Source organism: Homo sapiens, chromosome 8 (genome assembly GCF_000001405.40).
Source record: "Homo sapiens chromosome 8, GRCh38.p14 Primary Assembly".
In the NCBI taxonomy this organism is placed as follows: domain Eukaryota; kingdom Metazoa; phylum Chordata; class Mammalia; order Primates; family Hominidae; genus Homo; species Homo sapiens.
The window spans coordinates 85,334,863-85,348,228 of record NC_000008.11 but is presented as its reverse complement, the minus strand read 5'-3'; the positions used below and the strand labels follow the sequence as shown (position 1 = coordinate 85,348,228).

Here is a 13,366-nt window from a genome sequence, read left to right as displayed (position 1 = left end):
GTACTAGTAAAAGCATTAAAAATTCAAGAAATCTTATGGGGGAAATCTAATTTAGAAAAACAGTGAGTAGTTTTTGAAGTGGCTGTTGAAGTGAATATTAATTCAGTATTCTTCCTAAAGGAGAAAGCATGTCAAGAAAATAGCATTTAGGATTTTTAAAAATGTTTGTAAAAGTCTACAAATATGTTTTTAATATATTACCTGGAAATGTTTGTTAAAAACATAGATTCCCAGGTCTTGCATGCAGAGATTTTGATTCAGTAGTGTTATAATTATACATCACTTCAGTATAAATAACTTTTGTTCATATAATCCAATGCCTAATAGGAATGCTTGATAGTGTCCTAATCAGGACCCGCCCTCTTCAGAGGTGGCTACTTAGCTATTTGTAGTGAAATCAACACCTAAAGTTTTGTTATTTACTATAAAAGATGTCAGAAAGAATTTTGTACAATTAGTGGTATCAAGAGTAGTAACTGAGAAGGAAAAATTTTCTGGACCCAGAAAATGTCTTGTATGAACAAGACATAGGAGTGGAGAAGCCCAGCACTCAAATGTCATTGATGGAGTATGTGAGGTCTAAGCCCCACTGAACTCAGCTGCCTGACCCAAAAGAGGTCTTGATGTCATTGATGTCTGTTTGGAGTGAACTTTTCATGCAAGGTGCTGGTTGGTGAGCCTCACTTGCGGCCAGCCCACCTGAAATTACAGGCAAGGCATATGACTATTTTCTGGCTGTTTGTTTATAACACATGTACACTTGGGAAATTTGATTGTTGAAGACTTGCTTTCACTGAAATACACCTCTTGGTAATTAGATTGTGAGGGTGGAGTCATCTAACTCCCAGATACCTCTAACAAAGCTACCAATACTTACTAAAAGAGCTTATTTGTTGATCATCTAAACTGGCCAAGACCATTCACAAAAATAAAGGATTGGTTGAGACACACACATTGTATTTTAATATCACTTCAGGTGACACTGAAGCAGGTGATTTACAAACCATACATTGGGAACCACTGGATTAAGAAAAGACATGTCATTACAAATGTATTTTAGAAATCTAATCTTTGATAAAAGGATTTAAGAGCTAAAAAAGCTGATTTCAGGAGTAAGAAGACATGTTTTTTTAACCTTAAAATGATTTTAGGTAGCTAGAACCCCCAAACAGATGAATGAAGGATGTTACTACAAGGTAATTAATAGAACTGACCTTCACCTCCCTTAATATTTACACTTGAGAACTTATCTCTTTTCATATTTACATATAGGATTTAGTTTAATCTACAGCAAACATGTATCTATGAAGCAAGTGTTTGAATTTCAGGCCACATGCAATATTTTCACTGTTTTGTTTTATATCATCATCTATTTGCCTGAGAGTTAAAATCAAACTCTTTTTTTTTTGAGGCTTATGTTGATCATTTATATTTGTGCAGAATTTTATTATTTATTTATTTATTTTGAGACGGAGTTTCACTCTTGTTGCCCAGGCTGGCGTGCAGCAGTGCAGTCTCAGCTCACTGCAACCTCTGGCTCCCGGGTTCAAGCGATTCTCCTGCCTCAGCCTCCCGAGTAGCTAGGATTACAGGTGCCTACCATCACGCCTGGCTAATTTTTTCTATTTTAGTAGAGACGGGGTTTCATGATGTTGGCCAGGCTGGTCTCAAATTCCTGAACTCAGGTGATCCACCGGTCTCAGCTTCCCAAGGTGCTGGGATTACAGGCATGAGCCACCATGCCTAGCAGAATTTTATGCTTTATAAATCATTAATGCATGTTATTTTCTTTTTAGGTGAAAAATGTTACTTAATAGTGTCATTATCTGTTCTATAAGACTCATTAATTTCCCAAACAGTTATAGAAGATAAGATACAAATAGTATGTTCTCAATTTTAAAAATAAATACGGGGATAGTACTATTAACTTGCCCAAGTTATCCATTCATGCAGTAGAAGAGATTCCTAATTATTAGCATAAAAGTTCACTAGATATTCTCTGAATATCAGTGTGTCTTTCTAGCCAGTAATTTCAATTAGCATGACAGTCAATGAGATATACTTAAAATTTAATATTTTCAAAAGCCTGAAATTGTAAGACACTGCGAATGTCTTTATGCTGTGTATTAAAATGATTACATATAAAGAGTTGACTTGGTTGTTAATAAAAAACACCCATTAGCAGATTTAACAACTGTGTTAAAAATAAAATGTTCCAAGACAGGAAATAAAAGGTTGAAACTTTTCTTTAGTTACAGCAATAAAAGCCATAAAAGTGATGGATTTTTGAAATTTATATGTCAAAAGTTCAAACTATATTTGAAGAGTTAGATTTTGACACTTACAAAGTGTCAAAAATTTGACACTTACAAAGATCAGTGTTCTCATTCTCCCAGTAATGACTGACAGACACAGACGGGTCACTTCATTCCTCCCATTAATAGAACTGAGAGGGGAAAGGCTTTTTCCTTAATCCAAAAACAAACATGAGTATAGCAAAGCTCATTCACATGCCCAAATATCAATGTACCACACAACCTGAGTTCAGATCAGTGCACTTGGGTAAGCATAGTCCCTGATAACATTCTGCTCTTCTACATCTTTAAAAATATACAATAGTTTAAATTTAAAATGACCATTTAATTATTCTCTCTATAAGTGTCTATTGAGCACCACTGTTTTCCAGGCATATTATAGATGAAGAGAACATGGTGGTGAAAAAAATGATCAAGGTTTTATCATATCATAGAGATGCCATTTTAGAGATGGTTATAGACATTAAGCAAGTAAATTAATTTCACAATACAAGCAAGATGTGACAAATGCTATGAAAGAAATAAGACAGAATGATATAATGGAGTGACTGGGAAAAGGAGGACATGTGAATTTGGAGTTCAGGAAAGTCATTTCTAAGCAGGAGATATTTGAGGCTATACAAAGGTCTGGGTACAGAGCAATCTGGACAGCAGGACAGCAAGCACAAAGGTCCTAAAATGGGAACAAGCTCGGTATGGATGGAGACAAATACAAACATTGGAAGGAATAAAGTTACCAACACAGCTTTGTTACAGGTGATGAGAAAGCCCAACTGAGAGAAAATGATAGCTGTGAAATCCAGATAACCCATCCTGCCACTTCAGTTGATTAATCAGAATTTCTAGTTGTCTCAATGCAGAAATGTCCAGGCTAATATCACCATTTTCCATGACCCACTTCTCCACTGGAAATAAGATTTATCTTGCCACCCCAAATGATACCATCTCTAGAGGGGCAGGGAATTTAGGAGGCAATGTGAGAGTCAGGCCAAATTTAATAGTCAACAATGACATTATTTTCACAATATATATTTCCTCATTTTAGGGAAAATATGAATCCCAGGAAAGCCACTTATTGTTGTGGAACTCTAAGCATTGTAGAGCAGCTCTGGCTTTTTGGAATTTGGTCCTGCCAAGGTGTGGATTTTTCCTTTCAGTGGCATTTAGCAGATCTCGTCCATAACTAGGCACGGATGGCACTCTTTTTCACTTTTTGTTCCTTTTATAGCAGAGAGTTATTTTCTAAGTACAAATTTAAATTTGAAACTCACCATAATTTATTTGCTTCCAGAAGAGTTCATGTTTTTGATTTTAAAATATTAAAATAAAAATTAGATGAAAAGTATCAAAGGAACTAGAAGAACAAAAGTTAAAATAAGAAATACTAAGGCTCTTAAATATAATTTAAAACTGATTTAAATAGATACTTAAAAACACTGAAGAAATGCTTTTTTGAAAAACATTTTAGGGTACTAAAAAATATTTAGTACCCTAAATTTAGTACCATTTAATTTAGAAATTAATTGGTGTTAATAAATAAATGTAATAATCTAATATACATAATATATGTATAAATTCAAATTATATATTATATACTGTATAATATATAATTATATTATATACTGTATATAATATATAATTATATATTATATACTGTATATAATATATAATTATATATTATATACTGTATATAATATAATTATATTATATACTGTATAATATATAATTATATATTATATACAGTATATAATATACAGTATATAATATATAATTATATATATAAATTTAAATTTTATATATATAAAATTTAAAAGTATATATATATATATATACTTTTAGTTTAGAAGAGCAGAGTCTGTGTAGATTAAACTCCTTCTTGGTAGGCAAAAGTAACCCAAAGATCATCCTGGAAAAGTATACTGGGAGGAAACTGTTGGTGAAAGTGAAGTGAATACAAAACTAAACATCTTGAATTTGGCATAGATTCAGCTGAGAGAAGCAAAATTTGTAAGCAGAAAAAGAAGGATAAAGGTAAATGGGAAGGGTGTTTGGACTTATAAAGGCTCATTAAACTTTATATCCTTTCTCTATATAATTTTCTGCCAGTACAATAACACACCCTGGGTACATAATGAAATAAAAGGTGATAATAGTTAGGGTCCAGTGTCATTCTGTGCCTAAAACTTTAAATAAATTGCCATTCCATATGGATGTTAAAGCATTCATGTGACAAATCATCACATAGTCGTGTAATGAAAGGGGGTTGCTGTTTTTCAAATTTGTTGATTAATAGAGTAGTTCAAGCTAAAGTTGCTTTTTACAAAGTATACAATATTAGGAGGCAAATTACCTGGCAGGGGGTAGCCTGCTCCTGTCACTCCATGAGCTTCCGGAGTGAAGTAAGCCCAAGGATGAAGCCTGACTCTTGGTCATCTTGAGCCAAACCAAGCTACATCACCTAATCCAATCCTCCAGAAAATAGAATCAACTGGAGGTCAGTGGACAATTGTTGACAGTGGAAGGCTAAGCAAATGTATTAGCTTTGGAATTACACAGATCTAGGTTTAAACCCTAGGCTTATGGGATATAAGCAGCCACTTGCAAGTTTTGTAACTCTGAGGAGGTGTCTTCACCTCTGTAAGCCTCAATATTTTTTTAATGTAAAACACAATTTTTTTCTTTTTCCAGAAACAGAGTATCACTATGTGGCCCAAGCTGGTCTGGACCTCCTAGGTGCAAGAGATCCTCCCACCTCAGCCTAAAACACAGATTTTAATGCCCAATTTTGTTATAATAAGAATTAAATAAGTTAATGTACGTAAAGTTTTTAGCACAGCAGTTGATCCCTGTTGGGCCTTCAATAAACAGTACTTTGGAAAAAAAAAAAGAATTCTCTTTTAAGCAATATCTTCTTATGCTTACTAAAGCCATAGAATGGGAGCTTGGGCCTCTTCCCACTCTGTGAATGTTCATGACCACAGCCCACTCTGCATATGAGACAACGAACCATCACTAACTGCAAAGGAGCAAACAACGTGTCTCCAGTCAGCCTTAGTGAAAATTGCTCCTGATCCCTCTCTTCTTTCAGGGGTTGCAGCAGCTCAGACAATCCTTACCATGTGAAAGGAGGAATGACTGTCATGGCATGAAAAAAGCATCACTATGGTAGCTTATTTTTCCGGTTTTCTTTTCTTTGAGCATGTTTAGAGCTTTGAACATGTAGAACTGGCCAGAGTCTGGCACATCCTAATCAGTTTTCTTTGCCATCCTGAAAAGTCCTGTGTACCTTCTCATCATTCAGTTGGCATCAGTTCTCATCTTGGTCCAGGCTTAACTTGCACTTAAGAGTATTGTGAGCATAGGAGGGGAATTAGTGTGGCATTTGGTGGAGGTACAGTGAAGAAGGGAACTGGATTAGGAGGCTGAAGTCTTGGCTTCTTGGCTTGTTGCCAGTTGTGGCAAAGTACCTCAACATCTCTCAATTACAAATGCTAATTCTTACTATATAGCATTTGTATGTATGTGTGATGGTGAAATAAAATAATAAGAAACTGGTTTATAAATTATATAGAGCTATTAAAAAATAAGACCTTTATTCTTGTAGACCTATTTGATGTATAAAATAAATATTGTGTTATATTTAACTTTAATATTAATAAAATCTTCTCCATTTATGAATTCCAATATTGCTCCAAAATGGACTTTATTCTTACCCTGTATATCTATAAAATGTATCATTATAAATAACATATATTACAAATGATTAGTAATTTAATTATCTGATTTTAAATTAACATTAAGATACTAGTTCAGATCAGCCTGTAAACACACAAATTATTTTCCTGATAAATTACTTTTGCATATATTGCTTAGGTAACTAACAAAGGTAGAGTTGGAAATCTTGAGTGTACAAAGTATTTTTCATTTAGAAAATCTAAAGAATTACATATTATAATATTAAGCCATATCTTCTACTAACATGAGTGAAACAGGACTTGGCTTTATAAAATCTAGGATCTGATAATTCTCTTTTACAATATAAGAAAATTAAGCAATTGAAACTAACATAGCCCTTGTAGAATTTTTTACAACACCTTTTTTTTAGATATGTGTACTTCCTGATAAGCAGAGATGATGAAATAATGGCCTATTAAAAGCAAGTAAGTTTCTATAAAAACGCCCAAGCAGGGATTTAAGGCATCTCCTGCATGCACAGTTGCAGTTAGTTATTCCAGGTATTATTTTTGTTTTCAGAAAAAGAAAACTCAGTAGAAGATAATGGCAAGTCCAGACTGGGGATATGATGACAAAAATGGTAAGAGTTCTCCTGTTTATATAGATCAAAATGATAACTTGTTCCCATTTCCAACAGAAAAGATATTAAGTATTTAAAATAATTGTACAGCTATAGGTTAATTGTTGAACTGTCTGCTTTAAATAATTATACTATCTTTGCATGTATTCTTAGCATTGTCTTTTGGGGCATGGCTGACTACAAAATATGTTTGATATATATATATACAGGCATACCTCAGAGATACTGAAGGTTCAGTTTCAGACCCCTATCATTAAGCAAATATCACAAGAAAGCAAGTCACATAAAATTTGGAGTTTTCCATGGCATTTACAAGTTATGTTTACACTATGCTGTTGTCTATTAAGTGTGCAATAGCATGTTTAAAAAATCTACATACCTTAATTAAAAATACTTTATTGCTAAAGTATGCTAGTGATCACCTGAGCCTTCAGAAGTATTAATTTTTTTTTCTTTGACACAGAGTCCTCTCTGTCGCCCAGCTAGAGTGCAATGGCATGATCTAGGCTCACTGCAATCTCTGCCTCCCAGGTTCAAGTGATTCTCCTGCCTCAGCCTCCCGAGTAGCTGGGACTACAGGTGCCCACCACCACGCCTAGCTAATTTTTTTGTATTTTTAGTAGAGATGGGGTTCCACCGTGTTAGCCAGGATGGTCTTGATCTCCCAACCTCATGATCTGCCCTCCTTGGCCTCCCAACGTGCTGGGATTACAGGCATGAGCCACCACGCCCAGCCAAGTATTAATCTTTTTGATGGTGGAGGGTCTTGCCTCAGTGTGGATGACTGCTGACTGATCAGGATAGTGGTTGCTGAAGGTTGGGAAGGCTCAAAGTTATCCATGACTTTGGAATTAACTTCTTTCAAACTCCTGTTAATGTTGATAACTTGACCTTCTCCCATGAATTACAAATGTTCATGCAGAATGGTGAATCCTTTCCAGACAACTTCCATTTCCTTTACTCAGATCCATCATAAAAAAAATTATTATCTATGGGAACTACAGCCTTACAAAGTGTATTCTTAAATAAGATTTGAAAGTTGAAATTACTCCTTGATCCATAGACTGCAGAATAGATGCTGTGTTAGCAGGCATAAGCATAACATCAATCTCCTTGTACATCTCCATCAGAGCTCCTGGGTGACCAGGTGCACTGTCAATGAGCAGTGATATTTTGAAAGGAATCTTCTTTTACTGAGGAGTAGAGCTCAACAGTGGGCTTGAAAATAGTCAGTAAACCAGGCTGTAAATAGATGTGCTGTCATTCAGGCTTTGTTGTTCCTTTTACAGAGCACAGGCAGAGTAGATTGAGTATAATTCTTAAGGGTCCTAGGATTTTCAGAATGTTAAATGAGTGTTGGCTTCAACTTAAAGTCAACAGTTGCATTTGACCCTAACAAAAGAGTCAGGCTGTTTTTAAAACTTTGAAACCATGCATTGACTTCTCCTCTCTAGCTATGAAAGTCCTAGATGCTATCTCCTTCCAAAAGAAGGCTGTTTTGTCTGCTCTGAAAATCTGTTGTTTAGTGTAGTCACCTTCATTGGTTATCTTAGCTAGATCTTCTGTATAACTGTCTGCGGCTTCTGTATCAGCACTTGCCACATCACCTCACACTTTCATGTTATGGAGATGGCATCTTTCTTTAAATCTCATAAACCAACCTCGACTAGCTTCTAACTTTTCTTCTGCAGCTTCTTTGCCTTTCTCAGGCTTCACAGAATTAAAAAGAGCTATAGCCTTGCTCTCATTAGGATTCGGCTTAAGGGAATGTGGTTGTTGGTTTTTGATCTTCTATCCAGACTATGCAAACTTTCTCCATATCAGCAATAATGCTGCTTTGCTTTCTTATCATTTGTGTGTGCACTGGTGTAGCACCTTTAATTTTCTCCAAGAACTTTTCTTTTGCATTCACGGCTTGACTAACTGGCACAAGAGGTCTAGTTTTTGGCCTGTCTCAACTCTTGACATGCCTTCTTCACTGAGCTTAATCATTTCTAGCTTTTGATTTAAAGTGAGAAACATGTGACTCTTCCTCTCACTGGAGTACTTACAGGTCATTGTAGGGTTATTAAACAGATTAATTTCAATATTCTTGTCTCAGGGAATAGGCAGACTTACAGAGAGGGAGATAGATGGGGAATAGCCAGTCAGTAAAGTAGTTAAAACACACACAACATTTACAGATTAAGTTCATCATCTTACTTGGACATGGTTTATGGTGCCACAACACTATTATAATAGTAACATCAAAGATCTCCATGATAGATATATGAACAATTAAAAAGTTTAAAATATTGTGAGAATTACCAAAATGTGACACAGAGACGTGAAATAAACACATGCTGTTGAAAATATGCCCCTAATAAGCTTGCTTGATGCAAGGTTGCTACAAATCTTCAGTTTGTAAAAAATGCAATATCTGCAAAGAACAATAAAGTGAAGCGCAATAAAATGAGTTAAGCTTGTATTAGAAATCTATTGCTAATAATAAAATATGTATGGTCTGATTCTATAGACTATGAGTATAGATCTATATTAGTAGTATTGACAAATACACTATTTTATAGTACAATATAGAAAAGGGGCCGGGTGCAGTGGCTCATGCTTGTAATCCCAGCACTTTGGGAGACCAAGGCAGGTGGATCACTTGAAGTCAGGAGTTCGAGACAAGCCTGGACAACATGATGAAACCCCATCTCTACTAAAAATACAAAAAAATTGGCCAGGCATGGTGGCATGCTCCTGTAATCCCAGCTACTTGGGAAGCTCACGCATGAGAATCGCTTGAGCTTGGGAGGCAGAGGTTGCAGTGAGCCAAGAGCGCATCACTGCACTCCAGCCTGGGTGACAGAGCAAGACTCTGTCAAAAAAAAAAAAAAAAAGAGAGAGAAAGAAAGAGAGAGAGAGAAAGAAGGAAAGAAAGAAAGAAAGAAAGAAAGAAAGAAAGAAAGAAAGAAAGAAAGAAAAAGAAGGAAAGAAAGAAAGAAAAGGGACATCTTCAAACACAGAATTTCTATTAATCTTAAGAGAATATCATTTAATACACTGAAATAAACCCTAATCTAATAAGCAAACAGGTAACTATACTCCTAAAACTTGGAATCAAGCATTTGATAAGACATTGATTTTACACGTGTTTGTCCTGGTAGGTCCTGAACAATGGAGCAAGCTGTATCCCATTGCCAATGGAAATAACCAGTCCCCTGTTGATATTAAAACCAGTGAAACCAAACATGACACCTCTCTGAAACCTATTAGTGTCTCCTACAACCCAGCCACAGCCAAAGAAATTATCAATGTGGGGCATTCCTTCCATGTAAATTTTGAGGACAACGATAACCGATCAGGTGAGCTGAAAGACCCTTCTGATATTTTTTTCTTACAGTCTACTGGGAAAATTTAAAAAATAGTGCTCGAGAAATATGACACCCATTCTAAGTCTTTTGTGCTTGTGTGCAGCATTGCTGTAATCTAGTGAGGCATCTTGGACTTCTGGAAAACGCCCAGGTGGTAAAGACAATTTTTGGAACTCCCAGCTCTCTATTTTCAGTCTTGCTTCTCAAAGTCACCATCACGTCTCTTCTCGTCATTCCAGTATCTGTATGCTCACTTCACTGTCTCTGAATAAACAGCATTTATCCAGAAAGGTCTAGTGAACCAGTCATTACAAATATAACAACTAAAAAGAAAAATATTTTCTAATTGGGATGAGTATGAATGAGCACAGTAGAAAAGAAAAACAAAGCAGTGACTGAATTATCCTTATACTCCAGAATCTAGAACAAATTTTGCTACAGAGTTAGCTTTTCATGAAGGTTTATTGAATATTTTATTAAATGACAATTCCATAAAACAGTTCTACTGATTTAAAATGCTAAATTTGTTTATGAGTTTCTGAGGCCTAAATTTTAGGCACCTTGGGACTATGTCCATTATTAATATTAGATTAGGTCTGGTATTATATGCATTTAACTAATATTATCATTGGATAGGCTCTCCAAACAAAGTTTTATAAGTGCCCCACTGCCCCACTGGTACTCTCTCTTGGTCCCTGGCCAGGGATTCTCAACAAAGCTGTCAAGATATACTTTTGTGTCTTCATCAGTTACACAGTAGGTGATGAATGGTTCATTACTCAAAATAAACTACTAAAGATTTTTGATGCATACTGTCTTTGTTGAAAGAATGAAGGAATAAACTTGCAAATTAAAGGAGATTCAAGGACAGCCCTGTAATGATATAATTCACTCACATTGCAATATGCTTTCTAGGAGTTAGAAATAGGTAAAATTGTAGCTCGTGTGGCTGGGAAATGTGTATAATTCATGGAATAGCTCATCAATGCCACAGTCAGGGGTGCACCATACATATGACTGTCATCCTCATGGATGTGGGGGAAAACAAGATGAAAGTTTAGGCACTAATGTTTGTTTTCACTTCTACTCAATACAATTTAGTGTTGGTTTATATTAAATGCAAAGATAAGCTAGAGTTTGTGGAGCATCAGGCTAACAATCGGTTCCCTTTTCTTCCAGTGCTGAAAGGTGGTCCTTTCTCTGACAGCTACAGGCTCTTTCAGTTCCATTTTCACTGGGGCAGTACAAATGAGCATGGTTCAGAACATACAGTGGATGGAGTCAAATATTCTGCCGAGGTAATGTAATTTAGTAAGTGAGAGATAATTACCCTGAGAGTACTCCCAGAAGCAGCTTCTCCCTTCTTTTCTAAGACAACATCATAATGACTCCAAAGGAATGGGTATTCCAGTAAGGAACTCCCAGTTTCCATTAAAATCAAGCACAGACACATAATGTTTGGCAAGAGAGAGAAAATTTTCATGTGGAAAGAGGCAGCTAAACTCCTGAGCCCAAGATTCACCTTTCCCTGAGAATGCCTCAAAAGCTGTTACCTTGATATCAAAGCTAGCTTCAAAGGATGACACTGCTCCTCCTTTAAAGCTGTAACCCCAAATGGAACACACCATCATTTCCTCTTTATTTAAACGTTCAAGTTTGGATACACCAGCAGTATCGTTGTGGCCAAGCCAGGACAATTCAATGAGACTCTACTAAGAGCTCGAATTTAACCACAGCAATGGTCACAGAACAGCATACACCTAGATGAGGGTCTAACCTTCCCTGGCTCTTAACCTGCTCTCACATGGAAGTTTGTGACTTATTTCAGGACATTATTATCTGTATATCCAAAGAAAAATGGAGACATGTACACCAAACTCTCAGCAGAGGGTCTGGGAGATTAAAATGTGAGAAATTTTGCTCTTTATTTTAGGTGTATGAATTATATAATACATGTGTACCCATATATGCAGGTTGACTTTTTAATTTTACTTTCATCAAATGAATTCTATAATATATATAATTTTGCAACCTGCTTTTTTTCTATTTACCCACTTATCATGACAATTTTTAAAAATCAGAAGATTGAATTCCACCTTTTTTACTGTCAGCATAGTATTTCATTTGGGTGAATGCATCAGAATTTATTTAACTGCCTTCTATTGATGAACAATCACAACATATGATTTTTGTTATATTGGTTTCTTTTGCTTTTATTAAAAAATGCTTCAGTGAATATATCTGTACATATATCTTGTGCACTAGTGAAAGTAATTATGTACGATAGATTTTTCCAGGGCAGACTGCTACGTTACAAAGTATATGTATCTTCTATTCTGATAGAACATCAGCAGATTGTATACAAATAAAACTTGCTTTACCTTGTGTTGTAAAGCATGACTAACACCTTTCAATGCTGCAGAAATCTGTTAATTGGGTTTTCCCCTCCATAAAATTGAAGGTAGATTAAAATTAAATGGACTAAGAGCCTAAATTAGTATTATCTTTTTGGAAGGATAGTTGGTAGTATCCAAGAAAACTAAATTAGTGACTCTCTCATCTAAATTGAGAAAAATCAATATAATCCATGCTAGATATTGAGAGACACTTAGCCACAAAGTTTAGCATATGATTAAATTCAGTTCAATAAACCTTCTTGAGATACCTATAAGACAATAGGTTTGAGAGGCAATGCAGCCTGTTGCTTAAGAATGCAAGTACCCAGCTGACTGCCAGGGTTTGAATCAAAGCTCGACCACTTACTAGCTGTACAAATTCAAACAAATCACTCTACGCTCCAGTATTCCTATATAGAGAATCTAGATAATATAGCATTAGTATCTATCTTAATAATTGTTGACAGCATGAAAAGAGTTAACCCATACAGAGCACACTTAGACCAGCACCTTTCATGTTGCATGTGCTGAATAATGTTACTTAACATTTCCGTAGAGACACAAGCAAACATTTTTCAAGCAGGGAAGTATAGGCATAAATTATTGTGATTAAATAAATATAGTAGCAAATGGCAGTATGACTATTCACAAAGAAGCATAGGAATACAGATGTAAGAATAATTAATTACAAGTAGGGACAGAATCTACACTGGCATGGTCAGAGGAAATTGCAATAAGTGATCCCTCTTAATATACTGTCTTAATCATTCTTTTTTCATTCAACAAATATTCACTGGACACCTACAATATGCCAGATACTGTCTTTATTTTTTGTCGTTATTTATTTATTTATTTTTGAGAAAGAGTCTTGCTCTGTTGCCCAGGCTGGAGTCCAGAGGCACGATCTCGGCTTACTGCAACCTCCTCCTCTCAGGTTCAAGTGATTCTCCTGCCCCGGCCTCCTGAGTAGCTGGGATTACAGGC

At 35.6% G+C, this 13,366-nt stretch overlaps 1 protein-coding gene across 7 annotated transcripts in view; it reads left to right on the top strand.

The window, feature by feature from the left end:
- Positions 1-13,366, top strand: part of CA1 (carbonic anhydrase 1) — a 50,506-nt gene that overhangs the window by 29,885 nt on the left and 7,255 nt on the right. For 3 of the 7 annotated variants that reach the window (NM_001128831.4, NM_001128829.4, NM_001738.5), the window contains 3 exons: positions 6,570-6,630; positions 9,780-9,977; positions 11,166-11,284. In NM_001128831.4, coding sequence (NP_001122303.1) covers positions 6,594-6,630; positions 9,780-9,977; positions 11,166-11,284 — 354 coding nt within the window. In that variant the 5' untranslated portion in view covers positions 6,570-6,593. Of the gene's footprint in view, positions 1-5,403; positions 5,481-6,514; positions 6,631-9,779; positions 9,978-11,165; positions 11,285-13,366 lie in introns of those variants that run through there. The other 4 variants (NM_001128830.4, NM_001164830.2, NM_001291967.2 and 1 more) reach the window with 4 other exon arrangements.